This window comes from Homo sapiens, chromosome 12, assembly GCF_000001405.40.
Source record: "Homo sapiens chromosome 12, GRCh38.p14 Primary Assembly".
In the NCBI taxonomy this organism is placed as follows: Eukaryota; Metazoa; Chordata; class Mammalia; order Primates; family Hominidae; genus Homo; species Homo sapiens.
Window position 1 is genome coordinate 100,771,655 of NC_000012.12, and position 23,118 is coordinate 100,794,772.

General features: G+C 40.0%; 1 protein-coding gene across 11 annotated transcripts in view; it reads left to right on the forward strand.

Annotated features, from left to right (window-relative positions):
- Nucleotides 1–23,118, forward strand: part of ANO4 (anoctamin 4) — a 411,381-nt gene that overhangs the window by 54,394 nt on the left and 333,869 nt on the right. The window lies entirely within an intron of this gene.

Consider the following 23,118-nt stretch of genomic DNA (forward strand, 5'->3'; position numbering starts at 1 on the left):
CTACTGAGTACTGAGTCAGAATGGAGAAAAGCATCTTCAAAGTTTTCCCTACCCCTGACAAGGAGGTCTTGTTAGAAGGACCTGAGGAAGGCCTGGGTGACCAGTGGCCATAGATAAATCGGCTTCTGCATGAAGATGCCTAGGCTAGGAATGCGGGTATACGTGAGTGTGGTCAGGCAGGAGGGCCTGAGTCCTTGACTGCAGCTCCCTGCAGAGACTGCCATACATCATTTGTGCACCAAGTCTGGTGTGGGGAGGGCAGCATTCCCTGTGAGTTCTTCTAGGCAAAGCCTTTGTCATTGCCTATGATCACACATGAAAAATCACACATAGGATTTTGGTAGGAGCCAGACTCCTCAAGACCTTCAGTGGGAAACTGACTCTTCCTGGAGGGCCAGAACTGAGCTGGACTATATCAGGGCTAAGCAGGTATGTCAGCAATTAAAGAATATTTAGTAGGGCCTGTCATAGATATAGTAGGTGGTGAACTCAAGGCCACTATTATTACCACCATAAGAACATTCAGTTTGGTACTAGTTGAGGAAGCATGACATGGGACTATAGCTCTACAGCTGTCTTCAGATATGTGAAGGAATGATCATGTGCTTGTATGAGTTATGCAATATGTATTTGTTGATGAGTTTAGAAGATCGAAAGGGCGTTTAGTGTGGATTCAAATTATAGAATTACGCATAGGCCCTTGTTTCCCTACCTCTTTTCTTTAAATGCCTCTACTGCTTCTACTCCTCTGCCTGGCACATTACATCCCCTCACCGCCAAATCTCTGCTTGTCCTTCAAAACCCAACACAGACGACATGTGATTCCCAGGGAGTCCATGTGGCATAGTGGAGTGAGCATGGGGCAGGAAAACCTCAACCCTGGGATGTCAAATCCTCAGGGAGTCCTGATACTTCCCGAAATATGTGACCAGGGCAGATGCTGCTAATTGATTGCAAAATTTTCCCTTTGGAGCCTGACGCAGCTGCAGATCCCAAGGCAGCTCATCAGTAAACTACTACCAACCGATTAAGTAGATACAAAGGAAAAATCATATTGCCATGGTGACCTTCAGCCTTTCATTCTTCCTGGTCAGAAGAAACCTCCCAACCCCCTTGAATTCTTTTTAAAAATGGGTTTTCATTAATTATTGAGTAGATAGAAATTATTTATGATGTGTAAGGAAGATGTAAAAAATCACACGATCTCAAACACTTGTATATGCACTATCCAGTTTAAACAAAAGAACGTGAATGTTGCCTTTGAAGTCTCCTGTTTCCTGTCCCAATTCTATCCTCTTCTTTCTCTCCTGTTAGAGGTATCCAGTCTCCTAAATTTGAGGTGGTCTTAGCCCATTTAGGCTACTATAACAAAATATCATAAACTGACCAGCTTATGAACAGTAGAAATTTATTTACTTCTCACAGTTTTAGAGGCTGAGAAGTCCATGATCAAGGTACCAGCAGATTAAGTGTCTGGTGAATGCCTGCTTCCTCATTCACAGATGGTATTTTTCAGGGTGTCCTCACATGGTAGATGGGACAAGGAAACTGGGGCCTCTTTGATAAAGGCACTAATGCCAGTCATGAAGGCTGAGCCCCATCTCCAAATGCCTTGCCTTCAAATACCATCACCTTAGGGTTTATGTTCTGTCTTATTTCTTCAATTAGACTACAAGCTCCATAAGGGACTCAGAGTGTCCTAGATATTTGTGTTCTCAGAGAGCCAGGCATTACAGATTGAACCTGGTCATTGCACAAGAATATTTATTGAATGAAATAATTAAAGAGGGTCAATTTTGCATTATCCTTTCCCCCACACCCCACATTTAGACACATTCCCTCAGTGGTTAACTGAACACCTGCCAGGAATGTTGCAAGAGGAATTCCTACATTGGGAAGGATCTTGTACTACATAAGTTTCTTCCAACTCCAACATTTCTCAATCTCTGGGAAAATCTCTGACCTATCCAGAAAAGTTCCCTTTAGTATACAGAGGGAACTGCCTTTAAGTCTTGACCAACCAGCTTCCCTGGATCCCTTGGTTCTTTGCTTTAAAAAACCCAACTTTATTGTGAAATATAACATATATGCAGACAAGTGCATAAAACATAAATGTACACTATAATGAATGATTACGTAGCAACCAAGTAAATTTTAAAATAACCTCTATTGTGATGCCAGGTTGAAGTTCAGCCCTTTAGAAATTCAGCCCCTTGATATGATCTAGAAAGGGTTGGAAAACTATTACCTGTGTGCTAAATATGGCCCACTTCCTGGTTTTGTAAATAAAACTTTATTGGAACGTAACCATGCTCATTTGTTTTCATATTGTCTATGGCTACTTTCATGCTACAATGGCAGAGTTGAGTAGTTGCATCAGAGGTCAAATGACCTGCAAAGGAAATATTTACTGTCTGGCCTTTTTATATAAAAAGTTTGCCAAGTCCTCTTATGTAAAAATTTGCCAACTCCTGTTCTAAAGTCTGTCTTGAAAAAAATATAACCGTCTGTGCATCCTATGTGGTTTTACCCTCTCAGTAAAACAAGTCTAGTGAATCTCTGGTTGAGAAAAGGAAGTTAAATAATTATAACATTCAAAAATATTAAACTCTATGGTCTATTTTAATGAAATCTTAAGAATAGCCAGAAACTAAACCCAAAGCAAATTATCTCTAAATCTTGACCTCCTTAAGGGTCTGCTGAATTGCATCAACAACATTTTATAGCTAGAAGACTGGAGCAACCCAATATTTTTTTAGGTCATGGGGTGTAACTAATTGAATAGAAAAAGAGATCAACATCTTGAGATTATATCCCTGGAGAAGGCAACACCTGAAACAGATTGAGTTTTTTGATTAACTTATTCCTTAGTGAGTAGAGGTTAAACATCCAAGTAGATGAAAAGACCTAGAAGGAAATAGAGTAGAGCACACATCATTCTTTAGTTGACATTTGGAAAGTGCATTTGCACAGTTACCCTTCCCCCACAACATATGCGAATGCACTTGCACACACGTGAACACACACAGACACAAGAAATGATGCTTAGTCAAAGACAAACAAAAACGAGATGGCCACTGTCCACGTGTTTTCTACTATGAACACAGAAACTTTTGGCTTTAATTCTTTCCTATAATCATCAGTCACTTTCCCTATAGCAAAACCGATTTTGTTTCCTTGGACAATCTTGTAAATGAATATGAAAAGTAGGAAATAACTTAACTGCCTACAGGGGAAATGCATTTGAAGACAAATGATTGTATAAAGTTCATTTTTTAAGAATCAAGTGTAATTTCTTATGCAAACTGTATTTCAGTCTAAAGATCTCTAATGCTCATAAGGAAGTACCTTTTGTTGTACTTCTTTGAGGCAAAGAGAGAATTGTAATCTGAGAAAGAGATACACCATTCAAAGCCTGATTACACTGCCTCCTTAAATCTTCTCTCCCCAACTGAAAAATAATTATATATAAAAACATCTTGCTTTTCAAATTTGCATTTAAAGAACGCTTGTTTGGGGCTGTCCGAGTGAAAAACTGAGCACACTAAAATAGCAGTCTTTCAAACATACAGAAAATTATTTTTTCATCCCCAAAGGAGGTTGCTAGAAGTGTACCTCCTTGAAAATACGTTCGTTAAAAATGACATATAGAGCATAGACTCACAGAGTTTGATATCAGAAGGAGACCATAGACCCAAACTGAGACCCTCTCGTCTAAGAGAAAACCAATCCATGGTTGTGAATGCATATTTCTTTTTTTATTAGTTGCTTTGCATTCTTTATTAAAGCAGAATATAAACGATACCTGATAGTGGGACAAGTGGTTGGGGAACAGTGTTATCAAACAGATCTGGGCTGGATTCCTACATCTACGCTTTATAATTGTGTGACCTTGGGAATATGTCTGTCTCTCAGAATCTCAAGTATCTCACTTGAATAATGAAAACGATATGGATCTTTACCATTATGTTGTTTGAAGTATTAAATGAAATAATACCTATAAAAAGTCTTAACGTGTAGCCTGGAATGTAGTAAAAGGATGAGAAATAAGAGCACAGCATTCATGTGCTTATTAGCAGCCACTCCAAGGCTAGAAGTGATGCCACTAACACCTAGTCCAGATTTTTTCTTCCTATTACGATTATGAGTTCTTAGAGATAAGAGCTTTTTATTTGTATGTTTGTTTTTTAAGAAAAAAAAAACCTAGTGGCTTTCCCCCAGCTGTTGTGTTTTTAAGTACCTATGATTTCTTTTTTTTAATTTGCAGTCTGTACTAATGTGTACTGCGGCCACTGATTTTTCTTACCAGTTGATGAATATAGGCAGCACTGAGAAAAAAAGCTAACAGGCTGAATGATGATAATAGTTAATACTTAGTGAGTGCTTACTATATGCCAAGCACTGTTCATTCATGAATTTGTTTCTTTAATCCTCAGAAAACCCTATAAGGTAGCAGTGTTATTATCCCCGCTACACAGGAGGGGAAATGGAAGCACTGAGAGGTAAAGTAACCTGTCCAGTTTTCATAGCCAGGAATGAGGAGACCCAGGAGTCCAGGCCAGGCAGTCTGGCTTCACGCTTGCTCTGGGCTTGTCCTATGTCCTGGATGCCCAGGTTCCCCAGCCTGATCTGGGCAGTGACTGGATTGCTTGCTGGAGCCGAGGCTCTCAGAACCACCTCGCGAGGGCTCTTTGTAGCTCTCCAGACCGACCCCAGAGCTTGGATAAGTTAATGGTTTGGTTCATAACCACCCCAGGGATTCAGCATCAGAAATGACCCAGGACCCCACCTGCCTAAGATGAGAGGGTTGCATTTCAGTTTACTCTTGTTTCTAGACCTTTCATTGGGGGATACAGGGGCAAGGGCTCTAGTATAATTGCTAGAATCTGTTGAGATCTCTTTTGTGGACCATTGTTTGAGCAAGAGTAACTTTTAATGTGAAGGGGCTGCTTGAATTTGCCATAAAAATAATGGTAGCCTTTAAGAGCTAGTCTAAGGATTAATTGACTTAAGATTTTTCTTGTTTAAATCTCCTTCACCTTTAGGGCCCACCTGCTGGTCACTTGACCTTTTGCCTTAATTTATTTTGTAAATACTAAGCCAACAAGAGGAAAAGTGAATACCTTTTACAAAGACTTCCTTCTCTTTTGCATTGGGAGTAATTTTTCCTTGTAGATTAACTTTGGATGACTGGCTGGGGATGAGAGGATGATGTGCAAGAGTGACAGAATATGAGGAAATATGCAGGTAGTGGTATTTACAGTGACTCTTTAGGGACATTGCTTACCAAATGTCATTTAGTTGGCACAATGGGTATTCAGTCCAGTTTTAGAGTTATAAGGCACCCTGAAGACAATTTAGTCTTCATTTTTACAGCTAAGGAAGATGAAGAAAAGCAATTTAGTGACAGAGCCAGGACTAGAAACCAGATATCCTGATTTTTTTTTTTTTTTTTTGAGACAGAGTCTCACTTTGTCACCCAGGCTGGAGTGCAGTGGCGTGATCTCGACTCACTGCAACCTCAGCCTCCTGGGTTCAAGCAATTCTTGTGCCTCAGCCTCCCAAGTAGCTGGGATTACAGGTATACACCACCAAGTCCAGCTAATTTTTGTATCTTTTTTTTTTTTTTTTTTTTTTTTTTTTTAGTAGAGATGGGGTTTTGCCATGTGGGCCGGGCTGGTCTCGAGCTCCGGACCTCAGGTGATCTGCCTGCCTTGGCCTCCCAAAGTGCTGGGATTACAGGCATGAGCCACCATGCCCAGCCCACGTATCCTGATTTCTATGCCTTTTCATTTTTTATACTGTTTGCTGCTTGGGTAGAGTAAAAAGCCATGAGAAGGAGGCAGCCCTTAGAAACTCCCCTTGGCTGGGAGACACAGCCCGAAGATTCAGTTTGCCTAAGCTTGGGTTCTTTTATAGATTCCATTAGTTAAAACCCTTTTTCTAAGTTTTATATGGGAAAAGGAAAAAGTTGTATATAAAATATGGCAATAAATAGTGCCATTATTTTGTAATATTATTGCTTGGAATTCAGATTTATAAATTTAATCTTCATCTTTCCACTCTCACAAAATAAATTTTAGCATTTATAAAGACTATTTTACAACCTTTTACTCATATTAATATTTTCTATTCAACAATTGTGATTTGCTGTCTTAATATTCACTTTGTTCAGGAATGTTCTTACTTATCATCACATTGTGAGAGTCTCTCACAAGCTAAATGGTCTTGGTACTTTCTTGTCTTTAGAAGATAATGCTTACAATTTTTTTTTTTTTTTTTTGTGACGGAGTCTGTCTCTGTCACCCAGGCTGGAGTGTAGTGGCGTGATCTCGGCTCACTGCAAGCTCCGCCTCCCGGGTTCACACCATTCTCCTGCCTCAGCCTCCCGAGTAGCTGGGACTACAGGCACCCGCCACCATGCCCGGCTAATTTTTTGCATTTTTAGTAGAGATGGGGTTTCACCGTATTAGCCAGGATGGTCTCGATCTCCTGACCTCGTGATCCGCCTGCCTCGGCCTCCCAAAGTGCTGGGATTACAGGTGTAAGCCACTGCACCCGGCCGATAATGCTTAAAATTTTTGAAACATCATTTTCCTTTCTCTTTGCCATAGGAAGAGTTTCAGTGGACTTAAATACCTTTTGTGACAAGTGGGGGTGAATGTATGCTTGAATTTTTTCTGGGATCTTAAGGTTCTTGAAGGCAATGTGAGGTAGTAAGGTAGACAAGTATAATTTAATTAACTATATAAAAACTAAATATTATGGCAGCCTAGTTCCAGAACATTTAGTGTTGCATTCTGCTACCAGGAAGATGCAAAACGCAAGAATCCTAGTCAGATAAAGTCCAGCAAAGACACCTCCCATAAGCCTCCTTTCTGGATCTGGTTTAGGGCTGTCTCTTGCTGCTGGAGGTTGTATGGGGTGGTAGAAAGAACACTAGACAGAAGATCCAAAGATCTGGGTTCCTGGGATCTCCACCTGTGCTTTGGGACAGTTAATGTTACCTCTCTTGCCCAAAGTTCTCTCATTTGTAAATTCGGGTTACGGCTTAGACCAGTGGTTGTCAGCACAGCTATGTATCCTAATCAGTTGGAGATTTCCCAATATTTCATCACAAAGTTTTAAAACGCACAGAAATGTTGAGAGAATTTTGCAGTGAACACCCGCCACGTAGATTCTACCATTAGCATCGTATTAAAGTTATTTTTATCACATACCAATTTATATATCCATTAGTTGGGAAGCTTCACTAACACACTCATATCTGTTGTAGAATATATACCTTTGGGGTATTAGGCAGGGTGAAGAAGGGAGATTTCTCTTTCTCCTTTATATACTTGTGTTTGAGATTTTTGTTTAACAGTGAGCATGTATTACTACTACTATGACCAAAAGAAAAAAAAAACAAAAAACAAAAAAACAGAAAAACCCATAACAAAACAAATACACATATGCATATATTCCTGGGCCACCAACCCCCAGAGAGTGTGATGCAGTAGATCTGAGGTGGGGCTTAGTATTTTTTGAAGTGTAGCCAGGATTGAGAACACAGGACTATGCCTCTCTGAAGTGCCACTGGGGTTTCATAGTCACAGAGTTTATGAAATCTCTTTAGTGACAACCTGAAGCTCCCCTCTGTAGTAGATTGATTCCAGCTTCTTCTAGTTTGATTCCAGATTCTTCCTGGTTCATACTGGGCATTCAGCCGAATGCTGCTATTGGCATAACAATGAGCTTGCAGCCAGCAAAGGAACTGTGTAGGTGGAGACAACCTCAGAAGCATGAGATGCAGCTTTGCTTCTTGGCAATTTCTTTTTTATTCTTATTGATTCTACCATGGCAGCTGTTTCAGACCTCTATTATTGAGCCCTTAAAACCACCTCTTTTATCTCTTTATAAATAATCTGTTTGCCTCAATTGACACCATTGCCAGCCACTGTTGTAGGTGGCTCCCCAGTCACACTGTGTGGCTCTCTCCAGGAGAACCTTCTCTACCCCTCATATGTAGGTTGGTATGCCAGACTCCCCAAACATGCTAGCCTTTCCTCCTTTAAAGTATTTTTCTCAGACATGTAGTTGCCATTGCTTGTCTGTTCTGTCATCTCCACCATGCTGTCCCATTCATCTTTGTACCCCCAGTTGGTGGCACATAGTAGGTGCTTGCCATGTAGGCTGTAGATATTGTCCCTTTATATCAGTGATCAATGTCATTGCGAATTGTTTGGTATCCTTGATAGGGCTTTCATGCTCCAAAAATACTTTGTATTTCCCAGCCATTAAAAAATTAATATTTATTTCATTAATGTTACAAATTCAAAAACCTAGTTTTTCTTAAAGCTTTTAACTTACAAACTTTATTTTCCAATTTTCAATTTGTTTTTTTTAAGACAGGGTATTACCCTGTCATCCAGGCTGGAGTGCAGTGACACAATCATAGCTCACTGCAGCCTCGAAATCCTGGACTAATGCAATCCTCTTGCCTTAGCCTCCCCCGAGTAGCAGAAGCATGATACCACGCCTAGCTAATTTTAAAATTTCTTAGACAGATGAGGTCTCACTAATGCAGGAAAACCCCCAAATTGAGGCTTAGCTCAGGAGGTTTCTTAGCTTCACTCAGGAAAGAATTCAAGAGCAAGCTGACAGTGAAAGAAAGCAAGTTTATTAGAGCAACGGGGTGCAGCAAAATGGCTGCTCCACAGACAGAGCAGGGCTATCTCATAGACAGAGTAGCAGCCAATAGCACTCGTGGATTGCTGGCTAGCTGTATTTATACCTACTTTTAATCATATGCTAATTAAGGGACAGGTTCTTCATGAACTTTCTGGTCTGGGAAAGGATTAGGTAGCTCCCAGAACTGTATAAGGTAACTTCTGGGTCATTGCCTTGGCATTTGTAAACTGTCATGGCACTGGTGGGAATGTCTTAAATACATTATAATTAGTGTATAATGAGCAATGAGGGCAACTAGAGGTTGCCTTTGTTGCCATCCTGGTTTTGGCCCATTTCTTTGCTACATCCTGTTTTGATCAATAGAGTCCTGACTGAGGGTCGGAACACAAGTACTGCTGATCTCCTACCTCATCCCTATGTTGCCCAGGCTGGTCTTGAACTCCTGGCTTCAAGCAATCCTCTCACCTTGGCCTCCCAAAACGCTGGGATTACAGGTGTGAGCCTCTGTGCCCAGCCGCAATTTAAAATTTTTAGGTGTTAATAGTCACAAGGAATCTGTTGGTCATTGTTTGGCTTCATTTATTTAATAAAATTATCCTAATTATTTTAAGGCATTAATAATTTTAATATTCTGTCTTTTAAACTTCATTTGCCTGCCTAGCAAACAAAATCTAATTCTCATAAATCTAGTAAATTAAATATATGAACACAGTGAAACTTAGATTCTCTTAAACATTCCGATTTTGTAACAAATTTAGCAAAATTCTGTCATAGCTTTTAACTTGAACTCACAAGTCTCAGCTACTCAATCACTCAATTTACATTAGTCACAATGCTCATTTATTAGATACTCTAATGTGCCAAACTCTCTTAAATATTATAAACACTTTTAATATCAGACATTAAAATATTGATAAGAAAGATTTTATTTATAACAGTATTGGAGCGCTCCCTGGCTCAGTAGACATTTACTCACTGCAGTGGGAGCATTTCCACTATCAACCACAGAGCTGTTTTGCTGGTTCTTGAGGTTAGAGGCTTCAGGTATCCAGGCAGATTTTTCTTACAACTACAAGCAATGCATAGACCCCTCTTCCTTACATGCTGTATCAGTGAGGTTTCCATATATGCCTGTGCCCATAGAATGGTCTTATAGTCCCCCTGCTTTGGATTCTGGTTATACCTTGTCTAGTCTGATTTAAGTCTGTAATCATCCACCCAGCTTGCTTCCCTACTAGATTGGATTTAATTAATCTATTTACTGCTTGATTGTATTCTGTTTCTGTTTTTTGGCCACAACATTTAAATAATGTCTTACTGTATTGCGTATTTCTATAGCTCTGGAGAAATGGCCTTTAGTTCTAATGACAGTTAATAACTGTTTTGCTACATAGGGCTCCTTTCATTATCCCCTGCCATGGATGCATGTTTTGAAGACTAATAAAAAAGACAGCATTTAATTAATGATGTTTAATTTGTGATCACTTTCTTCTGGTTAACCAAAGACAAATTCAACTGTCTATCAGAGCTTCTTATCAGCATGAGATAATCAGTACTACAAATGGGTTGATATAATTCCAGTCAAAAGGAAATAACTGGTTTCTGTTTGTGTGCAGCTTGATCAGAGGCAAATACATAATTTTTGTGAGTCTCATTGGCAATCTGGAAACTGTTCATCAGCTTTTCATCACTTCCTTTGTGGACATCAGATTCAGAACCACAACTTAATCTTATCATTAGTCTGTCTTCTCTCCTTTCTCAAAAGCTGGGTCATCCCTTCTCAGTATCTCCTGGGGACCTTTCTTATTCATTGCCTTTACTTCCTACATCTCTGATCTCCACTCTTCACTATTTCTGTGACCCATATGCATCTCACATCTTTCCGATGTTAAAGAAACTCATGCCTGACTTTGTTTCTCCCTCTTACAATCATCTAATCTCTATCCTTCCAATGACCATACAAGTTTTTGAATGTGGCCCATAGAAAGAACCTATTCTTTCTCTCCTTACGTTTTACTTCTGTACTTCCTTCCTACTTGGCCCTATCTAAGGTCACCTGATTATGGTTAAAAACCATGGATTCCTCTTGGCATTTCCTAGTCTGCTCTCATTATTTTGGGTCTACTTATTTGGCTTCTGCATCATTGCATTTATCTGCCTCTCTTCTTTCCCCTCTGCCAGTCCTTAGTCACTTTCTCTACCTTCTTTTTTTCATGGAGGCATAATGAAGAGCATAGGTTTTAGAGTCAGGCAGACATAGGGTTGAATCTCTGCTTTTTCGTCACCAGTTGTGTGACCTTGGGCAATGCTGAACTTTGCCCAGCTTCAGTTTCCTTATCTGGAACATGGGGATAATAATACCTTACTTGTAAGTTGCTGTAAGGATTAAAAGAACAATCAGTGTGTAGATATGGTAACTGATATTTTATAGACTTCCTTCCCTTTGTAGTTTGTAATACTAAGGGTATTATCCAAAGTGTACTGAGGCTTTCTCTTTCCCACGAAGCAGTCAGCTTTCATTCTGTATATTAACTCCAAAATTTGTATCAAGCTCACATATTTCCCAACTTCCAGACACATATTTCTACCAGGTGCTAATTTTCTTCACTTGGATGCTTCATTAATCCAAAACTCAACATAATTCAAGCAATACTCAGCCTGTGATTACTTTCATTGTTAACAGAATCTGAATCCTCACAGTGGCTCCGAGGTTGGAGGCTTCTTCCTCCCTTCCTTCCTTCCTTCTCTCTTCTATCTACCCAACAACTGTGTCTTGAGCACTCTGTTATGGGCCATCCAGTGTGCTTTGCACCTACGGTACAATGAGGAGTATGACAAAGGCGATCTGATTGAGGAAGTGTGGTGGGTGCTGATGGTAGGAGGACAGACTGCAGTGGGGGCACTTCAGAGGATCCCCAGCAGAGTTGGGATGAGGTAATGGCCAAGTTTACATTTCTTCTCCTATTCCTACCCACCCCATTTTCAATAGATCTTACTTTCAATTTATGAAATATCTTGTTTCCATCCTTCTTTTTCATTCCTACCATAACTATTTCATTCAATCCAAGTATTCCAGGTACCTCGTTTTGGCTGGACATTCGTAAGACCTTCCCAAATCTGTCTCTAGTCAATCCATCTCCTTTCCAATTTGTTTTCTAAGAAGTTGTCAAGATCACTTCCTGAAGCACAAATCTGATCATTTATTTCCCTTGTTAAAAATCCTTATCGGTTATACCAGTCAGGATTCAGTATAGGAAAGAGAAGGCACTCTAAGTATTTAATCAGGAAAGGATTTAATGTGGGGTGTAGGTTTATAAAATCTAAGGGTGGCTAGATGAGCAGGCACAAGAACCATGTGCCAAGGATCTGCAAGTCTAGAGGTCAGGAATTTGCAGCTTTATCTGCTGTTCTTGGATCGGGAAGGCAATGATATTACTAGCCCACAACTGCGTTTCTTCACTTCAGAATGGTGATGTACCCTGGGTGTTGCTGCAGAAAAACCTCACATCTCTGTGATCTTACTTGTCAAAGTAGAAAACTGTCCATAAAGATCAGGAAGATGGTCTCCCTCTCATTTCCACCTTCCAAATCTCAGATAAGGGCAACTAATTAGTGGGACCTAACCTAATTTGTGGAGGCCATGGAGTGTAGTGTGGAAGAACACACTCCATGGCTCCATCTAGCCAGGCTGTCTGCTGCCTACGGCAAGTGCAATCTAATGTTCAAAGCCGTGTGTGGTTTTTCACTGTTGTATTTTGCTTAACCCCTTGTCTTCCGCCATCTGTTTCTGTCACTAGCAGTTGCTAAACAGATACTTGTTGAATGCATTAATGAACGAAGGAATCCACTCCTGACCCAATTCTCTCTTACCTTCTGGCCATAATGTTAGTAGGAATGCCCTTCCTGGCCTGTACCAACTTCTTCTACCTGCCAGAATCCTCCTACTCTTTCTCTAAGTCCCAACCAAATCTTCCCTCTTGTAGGGATCTTCTAACTACACCCAGAACACCCCTTGTCCCCTTTTGGAACACAGCGACTGTTTCCTTCATTGATATGGTACTCTTCCTCTACCCTTACCTTGGGGTTTATTCAGTATTTCCTTCTCCTTTTCTCCAGGCAAAGCAACTGCAGTTCTCTTCTAAGGATATTCATTTTCCTCTCTCTTATTGTTGTAATTGCAGTTGAGAGTCAATAATTTACAGATGTAGTTAAATCTTTTGTAGCTGATTCTCTCGTTTTTACTCTTGCGTAGAACCCCACATGCAGTTTTTCTCCTCTGCTAACATAGTTCCTGTTTTAGCCCTAGACAGAAATACAAAATAAATCTAAAATGGGAGGATCCTCCAAAGGAAAAAGGAAGAATTCTTGTTTATAGGTTTCTTTTTACTTTTTCAGTGGAATTCACGATATGTTCCCAGTGTTCTGGTTTGTTAGGCCTTGACCAGGGTAAGTGTATTACAAGAATATTCCATTCCCCTAACATTCATGTTTGGATTCAGTGCTGTAAAAGCAGGGCTATGCCGTTTGTCTGTGTGCTTGCCCCAGTGGATTCCTTAGAACTTGACTTTGTTTTATGTGGGGTGTAGGGAATCCTCTCACTATTTTTTTTTTCATCTTTTCTTTCTTCTTCTATTCTCTCTCTCTCTTTCTCTTTTTAAACAAAGCCCTTTGTTTTCTAGAGGTATCTACTTCGTAAGACAACTTAAATTAGTAAAAAGGCTACCTAGTCTTCAGGGAAATTCAGTTTTGTTGTATTTAAATAGACTTTATTTTCTAGGTTTACAGCATAGTTGAGATGAATGTACAGAGATTTCCCACACACCCTCTGCCTCCCACATATGCATAGCTCCCCCAACTACCAACATCCCCCACAAGGTTAGTATATTTGTTACAACCAATGAACTTACATGGACACATTATTATCACCCAAAGTCCATAGTTTACCTTAGGGCTCACTCTTGGTATGGTATATTCTATGGGTTTGGACAAATTTATAAAGACATGCATCCACCATCATGGTTTCATGCAGAGTAGTTTCACTGCCCTAAAAATCTCCTGTGCTCTGCCTGTTCATCCCTCCTTCCTCCTTCCACCTTGGCAACCATTGATATTTTTACTGTTTTCCTAGTTTTGCCTTTTCTAGACTGTCATAGAGTTGGAATTATATCATATGTAGCCTTCTCAGATTGGCTTCTTACACTTAGTAATATGCATTTAAGATTCCCTCATGTTCTTCATAGCTTGATAGCTCATTTTATTTTAGTGCTGAATAATATTCCATTGTCTGGATATACCACAGTTTTATTTTTCATTCCTCTACAGAAGGACATCTTGGTTGCTTCCAAGTTTTGGCAATTATGAATAAAGCAGCTATAGACATTCATGTGCAGGTTTTTACGTGGACATAAGTTTTCAGCTCGTTTGGGAAGATACCAAGGAGTATGATTGCTGGATCGTAAGGTAAGAGTATGTTTAGTTTTGTAAGAAACTGCTAGTATCTTCCAAAGTGGCTGTACCATTTTGCATTCCTTCCAGCAATGCAGATTTAGGAGGTTCAAAGGACTTCTTAAAAATTTATAAAAGGAAAAATTCATCCCTATAAAGGTGTAGAATGTTCAGTGGATGGCCTAGTTTTATTTTACCAAAATATGAGCATGTCACAGTCCTTTAAAATGCTCATTCTGCTTTCTCCTCTCAGCTCAAGTAATAGAACTTGAAATTGGTTGCAGAGAAATGAGGGGAAATTCTATAGCAATGGCACACTAGCTAATCACTCCTGTAGCACTGATATTAGAGTTCATTCTTAATTTTCTGCTTATGGATCAGCAACACTGAAGGAATGGGGAAAGCAAGCTGGGTCCCTGCAATTGCCTAAGTGGGCTTTCTTGCTTGCTTGAATTTAACCCGACCAAGGGGAGTGTAGTTCTTTAGGCGCTGATGGTTATTGCAGTTATGAGCAGAGGCATTTAATTTATTCCACTTCTTTGGATGCACTATAGCTAACTTCCTGTGAGGTAGGAAAAGGTGGGGGGGAATTAAATAATCCTCAAGCTGGTGTGAAGGGTCCCTTGTAAGCCCCAGTCTTGCCCTACTTCTTCAAGCCACACCTGTTCTTGGAATGGTACCTCTGCATTGGGGCAGGGCACTGGGCCACCAAGGAACATCAGCAGCCCATTGGGATAGCCCCAGTCTCTACACTGAAATTTTGTGCTCAGGAAGACAGGGTTTTTTTCCCTCCAAATTTGAATGCTGGTGAAATCTCTCCATCAAGCCCCTTCTGCCTGGAAGAATCAATACCTATTTCTCTGCCAGGCAATTCCAACTAGAAAGTGTGTTTGGAATGCTTTACTATCCCCAAGGTGCCTCAATTACTTGGGTTAGCATTAAAAGCCAAGGATTTCAGAGGATGAATCTTTGTGGGATAAATTAATGCCTGTGGTGTTTTATAATCTCAAGGAGAAGGAGATGTTTTAGATTTAAATTTTAATAAATGAGCTAATTAGAAATCAGTTCAGAGGGATTTTTAAAATTCTTTGTACTGAAGAATTTTTTCTTTTTAGCCAATCATACTCTAAATAATTCTACAGATATACACTGAGGATCCATATGTACCAGGCATCACAATAAGCTGAGAGGTTAGAAAGATAGGTAAAAACACTCTCCCATCCCTGAGGAAACATATAGTCTAGTAAGAGAGCCAGACACACAGAGACATCCAGTCTTTTTATAATCACGTATTTGAGTGTCTCCAGAGAGAGTTTATCTCTTGGGATACAAAGATGAATAAAACTCAGGGTGGGGACTTCTCTGAAGGAAACACATAGTAAGACAGTTATGCTACTGTGTGATCGGTGCCAAAACTTGGAGATGGGTTACTCCATTGGGGACATGCAGATGGACTGTCAAGGAATGCTTTAAAGAGGAGAAAGATGCTTGGGTGGTCCTTGGAGAATAAATAAGGATTCACAGGAGGAGGGCAGGGAAAAGAAAGTCCAAGCATTGGAAAAAGCCTGTGCCAGGACCCTGAAGTTTTCAACAGCTTGGTGAGTTTTGCAACTCTGAGTATGAGGATGTAAGTGAATGAGAGGATGCAAGTGGGGAATGATGGCAAGAAGAAAGGTAGGAGAGCAGTCATGGGGCTTGTGACAGGTCTCATCCTGCACACAGTAAGACGCAGAGGAGAGTTTTCTGTTGGAGAAGGCACGATGGCATCTTCATTTAAAAATCCTCGGGGTTGGCCAGAGTGAGGCTCAAGGCAGGGAGGCTGCTTCTGAGACTATGATATTCGCTCTGGGGAAAATTAATAGCTAGACTGGGGCAATGACAGCACAGTGAGGATAGAAAGAAGAAAGAAATGTTCAGGAGGTGATATGGACAAATGGGTTAAAGTGAGGATGGCACTGAGATTTCTAGCTGCCCTGTAATGTGGCCAAAACAGTCATCCATATAGGATTTTGATAAATGTCATTTTCTTTGGGCCACAGAGTAGATAGCGATGCATTTACATGGAAAAATGGAAAGTCAGAGGAAGTGCAAGCTTGGAGGAAAAAAAGCTTGGATTTGGTATTGGGTCTAGGGCATTTATTCCTTTAAAAAACAAAGCTAGCTGTTTCCTGCTGATGACAAATACATTCATATGCCTATTTGGTAGATGGACATGCTGTTGCTAATTGAAAATGCTCTAATTGAAATGACCGTTAGAAAATAACCTTCATACTTTATCCCTGATTGCCATGGTTATTTATTTATTAGGCCTCCTCTAAGGCTAGGCCAATGAGAAAAGAGGGATGATGTGGTCAGGCTTGGGAGGATTTTGTGTATCTCACCTTTGAGACAGCTCCCTGGGAGGAAAGAAAAGTTGCCTAGATTTCTGGGCTCCCTGAAGTCATTTGTGCTAGTTGATAATTCAGGGATCAAGTCTTCCCAGGATAGACTTGGACCAGATCGATTTTAACATAAAATAAGAGAAGAAAAATGTGAAATGGGATCTATTGAACTTCCTGACTTATTAAATAAATGTAATTTAACGTTTTTACTCAGTACCTTAGTTCCAGTTATAGAGGTGAGGATCAGCTTGCCATTCTTGGTCATTCCTGTTTCTGTAGGGTGCAAGAGTTGGCATATTATTTGTAGGTTTTCCTGTCACTGGATAGCATTTTAATCTTTGTTAATGGGTGTTACACGTTATTATGTATCTATATAAACTTGAACGTTGTTATACTACCCTGAGCTCCATACTAAGTGATCTCCTTGATTTCATTCCTACTCAAGAGTCAGAGATAGCTGGAATTTTGTACAGATGTAGAGAACATGGGAACAGTTGCATAAACATTGGTCACGCTGTAAATATTCAAGAAATCCATCTTGAGTGTATATTGAGTGTGTATTATGTTCTGGACACTTTTTAGGCCCTGAGGGCTCAGTGAGGAGCACAGAAGAAACAGTCCTTGCCTGAGTGGAGCGTACATGATAGTGTAGAGGATAGACATTAAACAAGCAATCAAATACAGTGGTTACAGATAGAGATAAATGTAATGAGAAAAAAAAAAAGAGTAACGAGCTGGAAAATGATTGAGGTGGGGAGTCAGGGAAGCGTTTCTGATAAGAAGCCATTCCAGGATCTAAGGAAAAGGGGTTCCAAGCAAAAGAAACAGATATGCAGACCCTGGGATGGGAATGATCTTGGTGAGTTCAAGAAACAGGAGGACAGTGATTAGGGCTTGTAGATGTGATAGAGCTGGGGAGAAATGGCTACCTTCTTCCCACCACTCATGGAATGCTTATTAGAGGCTCAAAAATATAATGGATGTATGCATACCATATATAAATATATATACCCCATCTCATGCTACATAGTCAGGCATTGTTATTCTCATTTCCTAGATGAGGGAACTGGGTCTCAGAGACCAGGTCTACATAGTTAGGAAGTCACAGAGTGAGGCAGAGTCAAGGCCTTCCCACTCCACTCTTTCCACCTCATCCTAACTGCAGACCAGCAGGACTGAAGCAAGGCACTTGGAATGACATAAGTGCTGAGTCACTGGCCTCCTAGGCTGCTTGCATGGAATACCTATCTTAACAAAATTTGCAATGGCTTTTTTGGTATATTAGCAACAATAACAATTATAAAGCAATGATGACAACGGTGACAATAGCTATGCCTACTACCATATGCTTTTATAGTTTGTAAAGTTCTTTATCATACAGCACCTCATTTGTAGCTCAGAAAAGTTCTCAAAGATAAGCGGGACAAGTTTTATGCTTCTCATTTAGGTTAAGAGATTGCCTGAGGTGACACAGCGCACTGAGCTGGGACATGGCTGTTGTGATTCTAATTCAGTGCTCTTTACTTAAACCATAGAAACTCCTGGTTGAAGGAGGAGATATATATGGTTCATAAGCTTGTAGGCATGAATTCCTGGAAAACAAGTTTGTCCTTTCTTCAAAGTGCTTTGGACTGTAAGGAAGAGGCATGAAAGATGGATTCATTCTTTGTGTACTTATTGAGCTCCTGTTGTGTGTCAGACACTGGAAATAACAAAGGGTCCCACTTAAATAGGTTAAAAGGTACTAATTTAGCACAGTGTTATCTGCTATTTGTATTTGATAAAAAGACGAGAAAAAACACTGCGGAAACACAGAGGAAGAAGCGATTAAGTAAGTCATTTTGGGGAATTTGAGGATGGCCTCACCGTGAAGATGGCATTGAACTGGGCCTTGAAGGATGATTGATAGTGGTGGGGAGGGATTCTCCAGGGAGAGAAGCAGGAAGGCTATTCTAGGAAAAAAGGATTATGGCAATAGAAGAATACACTCTCTGTGGGGAATAGCAACAGGTGTAACCAGGGCATGAGATAATATAGGAAGTAATGGTGGGAAATTATGCTGGAAATGTAGACTGAAGTCAGGTTGCAGAGGGCTTTGAATGTCAGGTGCAGAAGTGGGTGTATTTGGCCTGATCATCCCAGACCTGTTACAAGGGGATGGCATGATTATATTTGTTGTATTTTAGAAAGAAAATTCTAATGGCTAAGGTAGGTCAGATTGGAACCAAGGAGAGTTTAGAAACCATTATAATAGTTTAAAAGAAAGAATTGGTTGCAGCCCCTAATTCTGTGTTGAGAAGAAGTTTAGAGGTAACATTGGTAAGACTTAAGTACTGATTGGATGTGGAGACACTCCAGTTAGATTTTAAATGCACACGCTAATTTTCTAACATTGGTGCACACACACATACTTCTTATTTTGGCTTCACCAGACTCAGCCTAATTCTCCCTGACTATTTAAGTCAGCCACTGATTTATTTTTCTATCTTCAGAAAAAAAAAAAGAAAAAATTATAGGTCTGTGATCTTATGGATTCTTTCTGTATGATTTGATTTTGATGATCCCATAGGATTCTTCAGGCTAAGGAATGCTGACTGTGCAAACAAATTTTTGAAGACTTGGATGCTCTCATTATATTTATGTGCTGCAGATACCTACTATTTGGAATGGTTGTTGCTATTTGCAAACCCGCCTACTAAGCACTTTGGGGAAATTATTAGCAGCCATTGACCTCTGATAGGGAAACATTAGCAGTTCAACCTATCCTCTCTCCATTTCAGGTCTCCTGCTGAATGCTGAAGGATAATTAGGATTTTAGAATTTAGTGAGGGACCATACTTTAATGTGTATGTCAGTCCCATACTTTTCTAGAATATTCTTTCCCTCTATAGTATTATTCTAGTAAGTAAGGACTATTCCTCTTGGCCTTAAAATGTAATTCAAGGCTGGGTGTGGTGGTTCATGCCTGTAATCCTAGCACTTTGGGAGGCTGAGGCAGGCGGATTGCCTGAGCTCAGGAGTTCGAGACTAGCCTGGGCAACACGGTGAAACCCTGTCTCTACTACAATACAGAAAATTAGCCGGGTGTGGTGGCATGCAGCTGTGGTCCCATTGGGTATGGTGGCATGCACCTGTGGTCCCAGTTACTTGGGAGGCTGAGGCAGGAGAATTGCTTAAACCCGGGAGGCAGAGGTTGCAGTGAGCCGAGATCGCACCACTGCACTCCAGGCTGGATGGCAGAGCGAGACTCTGTCTCCAAAAAACAACAACAACAACAAAAATGGTAATTATAGGGTCAGAGTTGAGAAACAAAAATCAACAAATACAAATCATTTTCTCTTTAATTTATAAGCATTAGGAATTCATTTTTTGTTGCATAAAAGATTTACATTTAATCTCTGAGGTAAAAGAAGTTTCGGCTTCAACTTGGACTTGTGTCATTCCCACCTCATCCAAATTCATGTAACATGGTGGGAAGGGTCCTCTATTGTCTCATACATTTAGTCTAAAAGCATTCTTGGGGGACCCCCTCCTATGTTCAAATCAGTGTCTCCATATAAAAGGAAGCTCTGAGGCTGTTCCAGTTGTTCCTACATTGTCTTTGCCACTTGGGTGAGCGTTTTCAGCCTCCCTGAGCCCCAGGTGCCCCAGTGTACATAATACTTACACTATGGGTGCTGCAAAGGCCTGGAAAGATAGGTGGAGCCATTGGAGTCAACTCTGGCACATGGTGGGGTTTAGTTATTTTAGACACTGGCTTTCAGAAGTTAGATGGAAGAGACACAGACTTTTCCATATGCAGATTATAACTTAGTTTTCAAAACCATTAATTGGCAGAAAGTTATTTAAAAGTCCCAATTCTCATACCTCCATTAAAATATTCTGATGTCAAAAATGGAATTATGTGGCCGCCTACCCTCTCGGTGGTCTGGAAAATAGTCATATTTTCACTTTTTCTCCTTAGGCTAGTTACAGAACACAGAACCCACTTCCCATGAACTGTGTCTACCCTGGTGTTGAAAGACTGAGCTTGAAGAATACTTGTCTTTTAGCCTTTAGAAAGCTCTGTCAACAAGCTTCTGTGAAACAAAGTTCCTGAAAAAGCTATCTTATTTCTTTTTAAATAAGTGGCAGATACAGGTACATAATTCAGTTTATCTTGTAGTCAGGAAAAAGGCATTAAATCGTGCTGTTGTAGAATTTTAGCCACATTCTTTTGGCCATTCAAATGGCCATCGATCCAACAAATACTGATTGAGAACCTATTATATGTTAAGTACTACACCAGTTCAACACCAGTGAACAAGACACAATCGCTGATATCATCCCAAGTTTAATTGACTTGTATAAACAATCTGTACATTACAAAAATTAATGTTGTTGCTATCTGAAATGGGAGGCATTTTCTGTCATTTTTTTAGTAGAGAGGAATAAAGAGACCGAACTTTAAAAATTAATGGCGTTTGAGTTAATAACTGGAATACCTATTTTTATTGATCAATTGTCATATAGATGTGCAGTTACTTAATCCACTAGATAATTTGTATTTCTGCAGTATTTTCCATTTCATGCATCATTATAATGCTGTGTATTCAAGGTATGAACCCGTTTCATCAACAGTATTAATCTCAATTCATTTAGGAGCTTTAAATAATATTCCCTTATTAAGTATATTCTTGATATGCTGCCCATGCTTTTACAGTGTCAGAAGCCGTTAATGCAGATAAAAACAAACATTCAGTTAAAGAACCTTCTCATATATTAATTCGATTTCAGAAATTATTTGTGCATTTATATTTCCTGAATGGCTTCGGTTATGACAAACATCTAACTAGGCTAATTCAGAGCTTTGAGGCTAAAGTCCAGCCTCATGGATTGGTTTAATCTGAAGAACATTAAAATAGTAGAACATTTTCTGTCTTGGCAAGAATCATAGTGTTGAAATTTCAAGAAGAAGATTTAAATTTGTCCATGAGACTGTAAACTTCTTGAAGGCAAGGACTCATCTCTGTAGCCCTGATGCATAATTGATGTTCTTCAAATGTTTGCTGATTTGAGTTGAACTGAGGAGAATAACAAAACAGCATTTGAGAATCAAAGTCTCCCAGGTTTTCCTTATATAATTTACAAGGACTTCCCTGGCAAACTATCCTTTCTTCTTCGTTTAAAAAATTTCACTTTATTATGTTCATCTTTGATGTGGAACATTTTTTATGGCCTTCTGCTGTGACTCATTTTGGTGCTGAGTTATCTGCTTCCTTGGAGCTCAGCCCTTCCTTTTAAGCTGTGGTATTCAGGCTCCCCAAAGTCAGCTTGCCTACGGGTAGAGATCACAGCAAAATGTGCAAATGGTATTCCAACTTCTAGGTAAAAACAGACAACTAAAATTAAAAACTCTACATCATGTAAGTCACCTGGAAAAAAAAAACAGAAAACAAAACCCGAGGGCATTTGTATATTCCTGTTAACTCTTGACTGACTAAAGGGAGTTATCTTTTCTGCAGTGATAAAAAGGTGGCCCAAGACAATCTCCCCATCTTACAAAAAGTTCTGAAGTTTTACTGTGGAGTCCAATTAAACTGGCATTTAACTTCAGAAACTACATCCCTATATAATGTAATCATCACAACCAAATACAAATTAATTAATATATATGGACAAAGTTTATAAGTTCAATATTAGAATAGGGGAAAAGGGAAGTAGGAAAAGTTTAGAGTCCTCCACGCATCCTTCATTTATCACCAAGAGATTTGCTCCTTTGCTCCTTCTGTTAGTGTAAGTCAGAATTTCTCAATTTTCAGTGTGTTTATGAATTGTTATTATTGTTTATCCCAAACACATATTTTGTCTTATAGGTGATTTAAGAGCTCTAAAAGGGACATGTTAACTATCTTCAGAAGCTCACCTCTAACAATATTTCTATACCTATATTATACAAGAAAACTAATGAAGATTGACAGTCAAATTCCTGGAGAGACCTTTGACCCTTCTCTGTCTTAAATTTTTCACTTCTGAAATAGAAAGCCGGGTCACTGGTCATCTTATCCTGCACTTTGGGCATAAAGAAGCTTAGGTCCAAAGCGCCATTACTGTACTCATGATGACCCCTTGAAGGCACATCAGTAGGGCTGTCTGGACTGTGACATGCCATCAGACATCATTTAGGGGACTTCAAGTCTGGCTTCTTGCAGAGATGCTGTGGGATGCCTCAAAAACTTCCTGCATGGCTAGTGTAACTATGGGGCTTTAGATCTTTGTTAAATACAAGCAAACATTAACAGCAGCAGTGGAGAGGATAAGTTGCCAATCCTCCCAAATTTCTTTTCCAGGCAGGGGGTTGTCCTGCCGCTCTCAGAACTGGCTGTCATCTGCTGCTCTCTTGTCACACTGACACGGCCCCCTGGCTGGGCTGATTGGTCGCTGGCAATAACTGATATGGAATACTGATGTTCTCTCCGGCAGTTCCTTCCACTCTAAAGAGACTCCTTTTCATCCCTCTTCTCGCCTTTCCTAGCCCAGCCTAGTGCCCACCCTCCCCCGACCATGCCTCCCCTGCACCTGGGGAGGGGGAGGACCAGTCCTGGGCGTGATGCTCTGAGACGGTGGTGAAATCCACCAG